Source organism: Homo sapiens, chromosome 6, assembly GCF_000001405.40.
Source record: "Homo sapiens chromosome 6, GRCh38.p14 Primary Assembly".
Taxonomy (NCBI): domain Eukaryota; kingdom Metazoa; phylum Chordata; class Mammalia; order Primates; family Hominidae; genus Homo; species Homo sapiens.
In genome coordinates, this window is record NC_000006.12 from 82,090,837 (window position 1) to 82,105,138 (window position 14,302).

Sequence of the window (14,302 nt, forward strand, 5' to 3'; positions counted from 1 at the left end):
TCTGCCTCTTGGGTTCAAGCGATTCTTGTGCCTCAGCCTCCTGAGTAGCTGGGATTACAGGTGCAAGTCACCACACCTAGATACTTTTTTGTATTTCTAGTAGAGACAGGGTTTTGCTATGTTGGCCAGGCTGGTCTGGAACCCCTGACTTCAAGTGATCCACCTGCCTCGGCCTCCCAAAGTGCTGGAATTACAGGCGTGAGCCACTGCACCCAGCCCAGTTCCATCATTCTTATATTTTACTTATCATCTCACATGAGTAAAAGTTTGATCTTTTCCAATTTCTGGCACAGTAAAACACAAAAGAGGATGTTTGAAACAGGTTTAATTTGTTAATTTAAGGCTATGAAACACTTCCTAACATTCCCTTAGTGAACTTTTTTTCTGATCCCTACTAGTTCGACTTCTTTTAGTTTAGAGGTTTTAGTCCTCAAGAGAAAACACATCAACGAAGAAACCTAGCAAGAATCCTACTGAATACTAAGCTATACCTGCTGTCCAAGCACTACAGGCAACACATGCCAAAGGACTAGCAGGTAAAAAAAGAAATCATCTTGGCAGGGGTAATGGACCCTGATCATCAATCAGGAAGGATGCAAAATTGCTGTTACACAAAGAGAGCAGAAAGGAGTAAGGTTGGCACCCAGATGATCCTCTTGAGCTTGTCTTAATGTTCCCTTGCCTAATTATGATGCTGATGATGATGCAGCAAGAACTCCTGAAAAGGGAGATTGAACTCCTTAGGGTTGAGAGTCTGGACCTCTCACCAAGTAATTCCCATAGATCAGCCAAAGGTGAAGGGAATTTTGAATGGTTAGCAGAGGAGGGAGGTAATGAGTATCATTTGTGGCCTTGAAGCTAACTGCAGTGGTGGGGCAATAGTTTCTCTCACTAACCAGTCTCTTTAAGCCTGCCTCAGGAAAACAGGCCCACCAGAATCCTATAGGAACTGGCCCCAGAATTCATTTGAAGTACAACCAAGCAGTATAAGGAATGGGCCAACATGAATGCAGTGCTACAGTCAGATTCTCCCTGCAAGATTGAAACATGTATCTCCCCAGCTCAAGAGAAGGTTGTAGAGTGTCAGTCCTCCTTGGGAATTGCCTCAGCTGAAGAGGACCTCATCCCAAAATCATGCCTCCTTCCAGGCACACCACATATAAAGACCACTTAGGCAGTATGGCCATTTTCACGATATTGATTCTTCCTACCCATGAGCATGGAATGTTCTTCCATTTGTTTGTATCCTCTTTTATTTCATTGAGCAGTGGTTTGTAGTTCTCCTTGAAGAGGTCCTTCACGTCCCTTGTAAGGTGGATTCCTAGGTATTTTATTCTCTTTGAAGCAATTGTGAATGGGAGTTCACTCATGATTTGACTCTCTGTTTGTCTGTTACTGGTGTATAAGAATGCTTGTGATTTTTGTACACTGATTTTGTATCCTGAGACTTTGCTGAAGTTGCTTATCAGCTTAAGGAGATTTTGGGCTGAGACAATGGGGTTTTCTAGATATACAATCATGTCATCTGCAAATGGTAATTTATAGATTCATTGCCATCCCCATCAAGCTACCAATGACTTTCTTCACAGAATTGGAAAAAACTACTTTAAAGTTCATATGGAACCAAAAAAGAGCCTGCATCACCAAGTCAATCCTAAGCCAAAAGAACAAAGCTGGAGGCATCACACTACCTGACTTCAAACTATACTACAAGGCTACAGTAACCAAAACAGCATGGTACTGGTACCAAAACAGAGATATAGATCAATGGAACAGAACAGAGCCCTCAGAAATAACGCCGCATATCTACAACTATCTGATCTTTGACAAACCTGAGAAAAACAAGCAATGGGGAAAGGATTCCCTATTTAATAAATGGTGCTGGGAAAACTGGCTAGCCATAGGTAGAAAGCTGAAACTGGATCCCTTCCTTACACCTTATACAAAAATCAGTTCAAGATGAAGTAAAGACTTAAATGTTAGACCTAAAACCATAAAAGCCCTAGAAGAAAACCTAGGCATTACCATTCAGGACATAGGCATGGGCAAGGACTTCATGTCTAAAACACCAAAAGCAATGGCAACAAAAGACAAAATTGACAAATGGGATCTCATTAAACTAAAGAGCTTCTGCACAGCAAAAGAAACTACCATCAGAGTGAACAGGCAACCCACAAAATGGGAGAAAATTTTCACAACCTACTCATCTGACAAAGGGCTAATATCCAAACTCTACAATGAACCCAAACAAATTTACAAGAAAAAAACAAACAAGCCCATCAAAAAGTGGGTGAAGGATATGAATAGACACTTCTCAAAAGAAGACATTTATGCAGCCAAAAAACACATGAAAAAATGTTCACCATCACTGGCCATCAGAGAAATGCAAATCAAAACCACAATGAGATACCATCTCACACCAGTTAGAATGGCAATCATTAAAAAGTCAGGAAACAACAGGTGCTGGAGAAGATGTGGAGAAATAGGAACACTTTTACACTGTTGGTGGGACTGTAAACTAGTTCAACCATTGTGGAAGTCAGTGTGGCGATTCCTCAGGGATCTAGAACTAGAAATACCATTTGACCCAGCCATCCCATTACTGGGTATATACCCAAAGGAATATAAATCATGGTGCTATAAAGATACATGCACACATATGTTTACTGTGGCACTATTCACAATAGCAAAGACTTGGAACCAACCCAAATGTCCAACAATGATAGACTGGATTAAGAAAATGTGGCACATATACACCATGGAATACTATGCAGCCATAAAAAATGATGAGTTCATGTCCTTTGTAGGGACATGGATGAAATTGGAAACCATCATTCTCAGTAAACTATCGCAAGAACACAAAATCAAACACCGCATATTCTCACTCATAGGTGGGAATTGAACAATGAGAACACATGGACACAGGAAGGGGAACATCACACTCTGGGGACTGTTGTGGGGTGGGGGGAGGGGGGAGGGATAGCATTGGAAGATATACCTAATGCTAGATGACGAGTTAGTGGGTGCAGCACACCAGCATGTCACATGTATACATATGTAACTAACCTGCACATTGTGCACACGTACCCTAAAACTTAAAGTATAATAATAAAAAAAAGACCACTTAATGCACTGTAAAAGCCTGGATTTCTCACCCCAAATCAGGACAACTCTAAAAGGCCATTCTAGTTTTAGAGCTGCCACAGTGTAGGTAGAGGCTTTGTTGTGACTGCCCCTCAGCCCAACTTCTCCTTCTGCCCAATTTTCTTCCTCTGTAACCCCCACTTTAATATACTTTCTGTACACTAGCTCCAACTCAGAATTTTCTTGCTGGGGAACCCAATTGGGACAGTATTACTTTGACTAACAGTAAACTCGTTATCCAAATAATCATATCCTTTCATTTTCAGGCCTAACTTTATTTGATGAGTCAAGTGGACTTAAAGAGAGATGGGGCTTGGTCTGTTTTGCCAATGCTACACAAATGAGGGCTAGCCACTGGCAAAGGGACCTAGTAGCAAGAGGCTGAGAGGTTTTCTTCTCCAGGTAAAGATGAGGAGGTAGAGCAGGAGCTTCTCCTATTAGGAGCTGTGATGTTGAGGGTGTCTCAAAGGATACCCTCAAAAATCTCATGGATGATCCCCTTAAGACAGCTAACATTTTCATGTTTACCACACAGACTGCATTCACCAGCCAGGATGGGTCAAAGATGATACAAATATATACAACAGAGAACTGTAGGCAGTGGTTTGCTAGTAAACGTTTGACAACCAGAAATCAATGCAGAGGGGAAAAAGCACTGATACGTAATGTTTGCTTATTTCCATTGTATAAACACACCGACCATGTGTGATTTTAAGCTATCAGTGGGATATGACTGATTGGAGTTGGAAGACATAAGCAACAGCATATAGTTACAAAAGTATTTCCACCATATAAAAGTGTGATACACCTAAATAACCATAAAAGAATAGATAATAGTAAGACAGTAAAATAATTAGGAAGTGACACGTTGTTAGCATTTATTGCCTGTTTTCAATATAATTTGATATAATTTGGTTTTAATAATAACATTTAACAATTGGCACATAAAATTTCTGTAACTTTAATAATCAGCTGATACAAGTCAACTCTAGGACATCATCTGAGGCAGGACCAGTTCAGAAAAAAATACTTTGCTTCTATTCCCTCATTCCTCTTACCAGTCTCCAATACAAAAAGCTAAAAGCAGAAGAGGAAGAGAGAGAAAAAAAAATTTTGTCCCCAGGCCAGATAAAAAAGGAAAGGGGATGTATTAATCCATTTTAATACTGTCCGTTTTCATACCCCTGAGACTGGGTAATTTATAAAGGAAAAAGGTTTAATTGACTCACAGTTCAGCATAGCTGTGGAGGCCTCAGAAAACTTACAATCACGGTGGAAGGTGAAAAGAAAGCAAGGCAGTTTCTTCACAAGGGGGCAGGAAAGAGAAGTGCCAAGTGAAAGAGGAAGAGCCTCTTAGAAAACCATCAGATCTCGTGAGAATTCACTCACTATCACAAGAACAACATGGGGAAAACCGACCCCATGATTCAATTACCTTCACCTGGTCTCTGCCTTGACACGTGGGGTTTATGGGGATTAAAATTCTAGATAAGATTTGGGTGGGGACACAAAGCCTAACCATATTAGGGGAAATGTTCCAGTTATCTACTGCTACATAATAAACTACCCCAAAAAGTAGTGGCTTTTCTTTCACGGGTATGAAGGTTGACTGGAATCAGCTGGGTAATTCTTCTGCTCCATGTGAAATTCGCTGCAGCTGCAATCATCTGGCTTGACTAAGCTCTCATACCCAAGATACATAGCTGGTCCCTTGGTAGAGAGAGCTGGAAGATGGGGCTGAGCTGGTACTTTGGAATAACGGGGTCTCTCTCTGTCTCTCCTTGAAAGCTCAGGGTTTCTCCCTCTCCATGTGGTCTCTCTATATGATATGTGGACATGCCAGATTTCTTAAATGGTGGCTCAATGTTTCCAAAATCACAAAAGAAGAAGCTTCTAGGCCTTCTAATGACTTAGGCACAGAACCAGCTCAGGATCCTTTCCACTGCATTCTATTGTTTAATGAGTCACAGGCCAAGTGCAGATTCGATGCAGAAGGGGACATAGAAGGGAATGATCCATTGAGGGCCAGCTTTGGAGATGAGCTACCACAGGATGGGAATGCATAGGTGGGAATAAGGAGACAAAATTTGAATTGAATTTGAAATTAGAAGTTTACATTTCATATTGGACCAGATTGAGTTTTTAAATAACTGAAAATGACAGGAAATAAAGTATTCTAGACAAATGTTATTAAGGGATGGGAAAGGAATATTATACATAACAGGTTAGAGGGCATTTGGAATAATATAAAATATGGTATACCCCTATTTGGTTTAAATGATTCAAAAAACCAACTACATAAAACTGCATAAATATTAATGATGATTACAAGTCATTAAACTAGCATACCAAAATTGAGGTAAGTAGAGGTGTTTTATTAATCTATGTTAACTCTTACTTTTAAGAATGAACATCTTAATTTCTATCTGAATAGTGTGTGATCTGACAAATGTTTTATATTTATTACTTTTTTTTTTTTTGAGACGGAGTTTCACTCTTGTTGCCCAGGCTGGAGTGCAATGATGTGATCTCGGCTCACTGCAACCTCCGCCTCCCAGGTTCAAGCAATTCTCCTGCCTCAGCCTCCCGAGTAGCTGAGATTAGAGGTGCCTGCCACCACGCCTGGCTAATTTTTGTATTTTTAGTAGAGATGGGGTTTCACCACGTTGGCCCGGCTGGTCTCAAACTCCTGACCTCAGGTGATCTGCCCACCTCAGCATCCCAAAGTGCTAGGATTACAGGTGTGAGCCACTACGCCTGGCCCATTTATTGTTTTTATCATACATTTTAGCATAAAACTCAGCATGTAGCCCAGTCTTCCATAAATTTTTGCAGCTTTTTCAAATATGGAAATTATGGAAAAGTAAAGTATTCTTTGGTATATACTCACATTTTGCTTAATTTTGAACAGGTTAAGAAACAATGCTTGGAATTCACAGTATCAGATACTTTCCTTGAACAATACATTGCAGTATATTTTTAAAGTATGACTGGGAATAATAGACTAATAAAATTTTTCTCTGTAGTGGTAACATATTTCCTTAGTTTTTCACAGTTTGAGAAACACCTTCAGGTATAATATTTCATTCTAGCCTTGAACAACATTGAATGGTAGAGCTTACTGCCTCCACATTGCAGAGAAAGAAAACAGGGCCTCCATATCAGCCCTCTTTTTAACCTTCTTATTCGTGCTGATGCAATAATTCCTCCCACAAACATGCATTTGATTAGAAACTACTCTAAGAATTTTAGATTTTAAATGCTAAAGAATAAAGAGAGGCCAAGCGCAGTGGCTCATGCCTGTAATCCCAGCACTTTGGGAGGTCGAGGCAGGTGGATCACCTGAGGTTAGGAATTTGAGATCAGCCCAGCCAATGGCCAACATGGTGAAACCCCATCTCTACTAAAATACAAAATTAGCCGGGCGTGGTAGCAGGCGCCTGTAATCCCAGCTACTTGGGAGGCTGAGGCAGGAGAACCACTTAAGCCCAAGAGATGGAGGTTGCAGTGAGCCAAGATTGTGCCATTGCACTCCAGCCTGGGGGAAAAGAGTGAAACTCCCTCTAAAAAAAAAAAAAAAAAAAAAAGCAAAAGAAAGAATAAAGAGATAAATAAGCACCATAGTGCAAATTTTCTAGATAAAATTGGTGTTGACATTTATGTCTCAGTAAGGAGATACTTTAGACTTTAAAAAGATAAAAGAATGAAAGAAAGCAATAATAATAATAAAACACATAACTAGGTACTGTTGAAGATTGTTTGGAACTAAGATCTCTGGTCTATTTTTATGAATAATTCTCTTCGTGTTATGTCAGGTGAGTCACTTTTCTTTCTATGAATCATATTTGTTGTGATGGTTCAATATTTACTGACTACTTATAACACACAAAGCACAATCCCTGAAGGTGTGATAACACAGCCACCTGGGGGTTCATTCTCTCTCTACTTTTGTTAACTTACGCAAGTTCCAAGAGACTAGGAGATAATGACAATCAGTACAATAGTAGAGTGAGAATAACATTGACTACTTACTGATGAGGTGAACTTTGAAATGAGTTGTGCAGGAAAGAAACAGTTGCCAACATATGAGAATAGATCTCTGTCCTACCGGAAGAGATTTAGGTTAGCAGTCATAGGGTTAATCAAGGAGATATGGTGTAAAAAGGGAGAAAATGGCAGTTGGCTTTAAAAGAGAGCCCATAACTTCCCCTTTTTGCCACTGTCACTTTACTCAGAGGGTTATAGGTTCAGGCATTAATGGAGCCCTGTTGCAGAGGATGGACACTTGGCATGATCAGGGATGCATGTGTGTCCCTACAGAGTACCCTCTGACTCTCCCTTTTTTACTCTTAACATTTTATTGCTTCTTTTTTTCTCTCTCTTGGAATGGCCCTACTCTGAGCAGGCTTGGGGCGAATAGCTTAGATTCATCACTAGCTCTCAGAGAGAAATGTCCTTCCCTTCTCCTTGTAGGTGTGTTATTCATTAGGTGCTTCTTTGTGCTGCCCCATGCCCCAGTTCCAGGAAACTGCAACGCAAAGCTACACCCTCCCAAGACTGAATCAGGAAGAAATTGAACCCCTGAACAGACCAATAATGAGCTCCAAAAATGAGTCAGTAATAAATATCCTACCAACCAAAAAAAGCCAAGGACCAGGTGGATCCACAGCTGAATTTTCTACCAGATGTGCAAAGAAGAGCTGATACCATTTCTGCTGAAACTATTCCCAAAAAAACTGAGGAAGAGGGACTCCTCCCTAACTAAATCTCTGAGGCCAACTTACCCTGATAGCAAAACCTGGCAGAGACACAATGAATAAGGAACACTTCAAGCCAATATACTTGATGAACATCAATGTAAAAATCCTCAATGAAATACTGACAAACCAAATCCCACAGCACATCAAAAAGTATATCTGCCACAATCAAATAGGCTTTATTCCTGGGATATCAGGTTGGTTCAACATACACAAATCAATAAATGTGATTCATCACATCAACAGAACCAAAGACCAATACCACATGATTATCTTAATAGATACAGAAAAGGCTTTTGATAAAATTCAACACTCCTTCATTATGAAAAACTTTCAGCACACTAGGTATTGAAGGAACATACTTCAAAATAATAATAGCCATCTATGACAAAACCAGAGCCAACATCATACTGAAAGGGCAAAAGCTGGAAGCATTCCCCTTGAAAACCTGCACAAGAAAAGGATGCCCTCTCTCACCACTCCTATTCTAAATGGCCTTGGAAATCCTGTCCAGGGCAATCAGACAAGAGAAAGAAATAAAGGGAATCCAAATAAAAAGAGAGGAAGTCAAACTATCCCTGTTGGCAGACAACATGATCCTATATCTAGAAAACCCCATAATCTCAGTCCAAAAGCTCCTTAAGTTGATAAATAAGTTGAGCAAAGTCTCAGGATAAAAAATAATGTGCAAAAATCACAAAAATATTCCTATACACCAACAGTCAAGCTGAGAGCCAACTTAGGAATGCAACCTCATTCACGATTGCAACAAAAAATAAAGTAAAATACCTAATAATACAGCTAACCAGGGAAATGAAATATCTCTACAAAGAGAAGTACAAAACACTGTACAAAGAAATAAGGGATGACACAAACACATGGAAATACATTCCATGCTAATGGATTGGAGGACTTGATATTGTTAAAGTGGCTATAGTCTCCAAAGCAATTTATAGATTCAATGCTATTCCTATTAAACTACCATTGAAATTCTTCACAGAACTAGAGAAAACTTTTAAAATTCATATGGAACCAAAAAAGAGCACAAATAGCCAAGGCAATTCTAAGCAAAAGGAAAAAAGCTAGAGGTATCATGCTACCCAATGTCAAACTGTACTACAAGGCTACAGTAATCAAAACAGCATGGTACTGATACAAAAACAGACACACAGACCAATGGAACAGAATAGAGAAGCCAGAAATAAGGCCACATACCTACAACTATCTGATCTTTGACAGATCTGACAAAAAGAAGCAATGGTAAAAGAATTCTCTATTCAATAAATGGTGCTGGGATAATTGGCTAGCCATATGCAGAAGATTGAAACTGGACCCCTTCCTTACACCATGTACAAAAATTAACTCAAGATGAATTAAAGGCTTAAGTGTAAAACCCAAAACTATAAAAACCCTGGAAGACAACCTAGGCAATATCATTCTGGGCATAAGAATGGGCAAAGATTTCATGACAAAGGCACCAAAAGCAATTGCAACAAAAGCAAAAATGAATAAATGGGGTCTAATTAAATTTTAGAGATTCTGCTCAGCCAAATAAATAAATAAATAAAACATCAATGAAATAAACAGACAACCTACAGAATGGGAGAAATTTTCCACAAACTATGCATCTGACAAAGGAACTAAAGGAACATCTATAAGGAACTTAAACAAATTTACAAGCAAAAAAAAAAAAAAAAGAACTTCATTAAAAAGTGGACAAAAGACAGGAACAGTCACTTTTCAAAAGAAGATGTGCATGCAGCCAATAATGATATTTTTTAAAAAAGCTCAACATCACTAATCACTAGAGAAATTCAAATCAAAAGCACATTGAGATACCATCTCATACCAGTCAGAATGGCTATTAGTAAAAAGTCAAAAAAGTAACAGATGCTGGTAAGATTGTGGAGAAGAAGGAACACTTATATACTGTTAGTGGGAGTGTAAATTAGTTTAACCATTGTGGAAGACAGTGTGGCAATTTCTCAAAGACCTAAAGACAGAAATGCCATTTGACCCAGCAATTCCATTACTGGGTACATACCCAAGGTAATACAAATCATTCTATTATAAAGACACATGCATGCCTATGTTCACTGCAGCACCATTCACAATAGCAAAGACATGGAATCAACCTAAATGCCCATCACTGATAGACTGGATAAAGAAAATGTTGTACATATACACCATGGAATACTATGCAGCCATAAAAAGAATGAGATCATGTTCTTTGCAGCAACATGGATGGAGTTGGAGGCCATTATCCTTAGCAAACTAACTCAGGCACAGAAAACCAAATACTGCATGTTCTCACTTATAAGTGCGAGCTAAATGATGAGAACACATGGATACACAAAGGGAAACAATAGATACTAGGGTTTCCTTGAGAGTGCAGGGTGAGAGGTAGGAGAAGATCAGGAAAAATAAGTAATGAGTACTACGTTTAATACCTGGGTGACAAAATAATCTTACAACAAACCCCCATGACACAAGTTTACCTATATAACAAATCTACACATGTACCCTTGAACATAAAATAAAGGTTAAATAAAAAGAAAATCTTTCGGGGGGAGGAGCCAAGATGGCCGAATAGAAACAGCTCCGGTCTACAGCTCCCAGCATGAGCGACGCAGAAGACTGGTGATTTCTGCATTTCCATCTGAGGTACCGGGTTCATCTCACTAGGGAGTGCCAGAAAGTGGGCGCAGGTCAGTGGGTGCGTGCACCATGTGCGAGCCGAAGCAGGGCGAGGCATTGCCTCACTTGGGAAGCGCAAGGGGTCAGGGAGTTCCCTTTCCAAGTCACAGAAAGGGGTGACGCACCTGGAAAATCGGGTCACTCCTACCCGAATACTGTGCTTTTCCGACTGGCTTAAAAAACGGCACACCATGAGATAATATCCCGCACCTGGCTCAGAGGGTCCTACGTCCACGGAGTCTCGCTGATTGCTAGCACAGCAGTCTGAGATCAAACTGCAAGGCGGCAGCGAGGCTGGGGGAGGGGCGCCCGCCATTGCCCAGGCTTGCTTAGGTAAACAAAGCAGCTGGGAAGCTCCAAATGGGTGGAGCCCACCACAGCTCAAGGAGGCCTGCCTGCCTCTGTAGGCTCCACCTCTGGGGGCAGGGCACAGACAACAAAAAGACAGCAGTAACCTCTGCAGACTTAAATGTCCCTGTCTGACAGCTTTGAAGAGAGCAGTGGTTCTCCCAGCACGCAGCTCGAGATCTGAGAACGGGCAGACTGCCTCCTCAAGTGAGTCCCTGACCCCTGACCCCCCAGCAGCCTAACTGGGAGGCACCCCCCAGCAGGGGCACACTGACACCTCACAGGGCAGTGTATTCCAACAGACCTGCAGCTGAGGGTCCTGTCTGTTAGAAGGAAAACTAACAAACAGAAAGGACATCCACACCAAAAACCCATCTGTACATCACCATCGTCAAAAACCAAAAGTAGATAAAACTACAAAGATGGGGAAAAAACAGAACAGAAAAACTGGAAACTCTAAAAAGCAGAGCGCCTCTCCTCCTCCAAAGGAACGCAGTTCCTCACCAGCAACAGAACAAAGCTGGATGGAGAATGACTTTGACGAGCTAAGAGGAGAAGGCTTCAGACGATCAAATTACTCTGAGCTACAGGAGGACATTCAAACCAAAGGCAAACAAGTTGAAAACTTTGAAAAAAATTTAGAAGAATGTATAACTAGAATAACCAATACAAAGAAGTGCTTAAAGGAGCTGATGGAGCTGAAAACCAAGGCTCAAGAACTACATGAAGAATGCAGAAGCCTCAGGAGCCGATGCAATCAACTGGAAGAAAGGGTATCAGCAATGGAAGATGAAATGAATGAAATGAAGCGAGAAGGGAAGTTTAGGGAAAAAAGAATCAAAAGAAATGAGCAAAGCCTCCAAGAAATATGGGACTATGTGAAAAGACCAAATCTACGTCTGATTGGTGTACCTGAAAGTGATGCGGAGAATGGAACCAAGTTGGAAAACACTCTGCAGGATATTATCCAGGAGAACTTCCCCAATCTAGCAAGGCAGGCCAACATTCAGATTCAGGAAATACAGAGAACGCCACAAAGATACTCCTCGAGAAGAGCAACTCCAAGCCACATAATTGTCAGATTCACCAAAGTTGAAATGAAGGAAAACATGTTAAGGGCAGCCAGAAAGAAAGGTCGGGTTACCCTCAAAGGGAAGCCCATCAGACTAACAGCGGATCTCTCGGCAGAAACCCTACAAGCCTGAAGAGAGTGGGGGCCGATATTCAACATTCTTGAAGAGAAGAATTTTCAACCCACAATTTCATATCCAGCCAAACTAAGCTTCATAAGCGAAGGAGAAATAAAATACTTTACAGACAAGCAAATGCTGAGAGATTTTGTCACCACCAGGCCTGCCCTAAAAGACCTCCTGAAGGAAGCGCTAAACATGGAAAGGAACAACCGGTACCACCCACTGCAAAATCATGCCAAAATATAAAGACCATCGAGACTAGGAAGAAACTGCATCAACTAACGAGCAAAATAACCAGCTAACATCAAAATGACAGGATCAAATTCACACATAACAATATTACCTTTAAATGTAAATGGACTAAATGCTCCAATTAAAAGACACAGACTGGCAAATTGGATAAAGAGTCAAGACCCATCAGTGTGCTGTATTCAGGAAACCCATCTCACTTGCAGAGACACACATAGGCTCAAAATAAAAGGATGGAGGAAGATCTACCAAGCAAATGGAAAACAAAAAAAGGCAGGGGTTGCAATCTTAGTCTCTGATAAAACAGAATTTAAACCAACAAAGATCAAAAGAGACAAAGAAGGCCATTACATAATGGTAAAGGGATCAATTCAACAAGAAGAGCTAACTATCCTAAATATATATGCACCCAGATTCATAAAGCAAGTCCTGAGTGACCTACAAAGAGACTTAGGCTCCCACACCTTAATAATGGGAGACTTTAACACCCCACTGTCAACATTAGACAGATCAACGAGACAGAAAGTCAACAAGGATACCCAGAAATTGAACTCAGCTCTGCACCAAGCGGACCTAATAGACATCTACAGAACTCTCCACCCCAAATCAACAGAATATACATTTTTTTCAGCACCACACCACGCCTATTCCAAAATTGACCACATACTTGGAAGTAAAGCTCTCCTCAGCAAATGTAAAAGAACAGAGATTATAACAAACTATCTCTCAGACCACAGTGCAATCAAACTAGAACTCAGGATTAAGAATCTCACTCAAAACGACTCAACTACATGGAAACTGAACAACCTGCTCCTGAATGACTACTGGGTACATAATAAAATGCAGGCAGAAATAAAGATGTTCTTTGAAACCAACGAGAACAAAGACACAACATACCAGAATCTCTGGGACGCATTCAAAGCAGTGTGTAGAGGGAATTTATAGCACTAAATGCCCACAAGAGAAAGCAGGAAAGATCCAAAATTGACACCCTAACATCACAATTAAAAGAACTAGAAAAGCAAGAGCAAACACATTCAAAAGCTAGCAGAAGGCAAGAAATAACTAAAATCAGAGCAGAACTGAAGGAAATAGAGACACAAAAAAACCCTTCAAAAAATTAATGAATCCAGGAGCTGGTTTTTTGAAAGGATCAACAAAATTGATAGACCGCTAGCAAGACTAATAAAGAAAAAAAGAGAGAAGAATCAAATAGACACAATAAAAAATGATAAAGGGGATATCACCACCAATCCCACAGAAATACAAACTACCATCAGAGAATACTACAAACACCTCTATGCAAATAAACTAGAAAATCTAGAAGAAATGGTTAAATACCTCGACACATACACTCTCCCAAGACTAAACCAGGAAGAAGTTGAATCTCTGAATAGACCAATAACAGGATCTGAAATTGTGGCAATAATCAATAGCTTACCAACCAAAAAGAGTCCAGGACCAGACGGATTCACAGACGAATTCTACCAGAGGTACAAGGAGGAACTGGTACCATTCCTTCTGAAACTATTCCAATCAATAGAAAAAGAGGGAATCCTCCCTAACTCATTTTATGAGGCCACCATCATTCTGATACCAAAGCCGGGCAGAGACACAACCAAAAAAGAGAATTTTAGACCAGTATCCTTGATGAACATTGATGCAAAAATCCTCAATAAAATACTGGCAAAACGAATCCAGCAGCACATCAAAAAGCTTATCCATCATGATCAAGTGGGCTTCATCCCTGGGATGCAAGGCTGGTTCAATATACGCAAATCAATAAATGTAATCCAGCATATAAACAGAGCCAAAGACAAAAACCACATGATTATCTCAATAGATGCAGAAAAAGCCTTTGACAAAATTCAACAGCCCTTCGTGCTAAAAACTCTCAATAAATTAGGTATTGAT

General features: G+C 40.3%; 2 long non-coding RNA genes across 2 annotated transcripts in view; one reads left to right on the forward strand and one right to left on the reverse strand.

Moving 5' to 3' along the window:
• The window catches only part of LINC02542 (long intergenic non-protein coding RNA 2542), a 257,985-nt gene extending 247,056 nt beyond the window's left edge, over positions 1 to 10,929 (reverse strand). Inside the window, exon 1 of the long non-coding RNA NR_149135.1 lies at positions 10,724 to 10,929. This is a non-coding gene — a long non-coding RNA (long intergenic non-protein coding RNA 2542). The remainder of the gene's footprint in view (positions 1 to 10,723) is intronic.
• LOC107986617 (uncharacterized) overlaps positions 1 to 14,302 on the forward strand; it is a 97,872-nt gene that overhangs the window by 73,233 nt on the left and 10,337 nt on the right. The gene's annotated exons all lie outside the window — the stretch shown is intronic.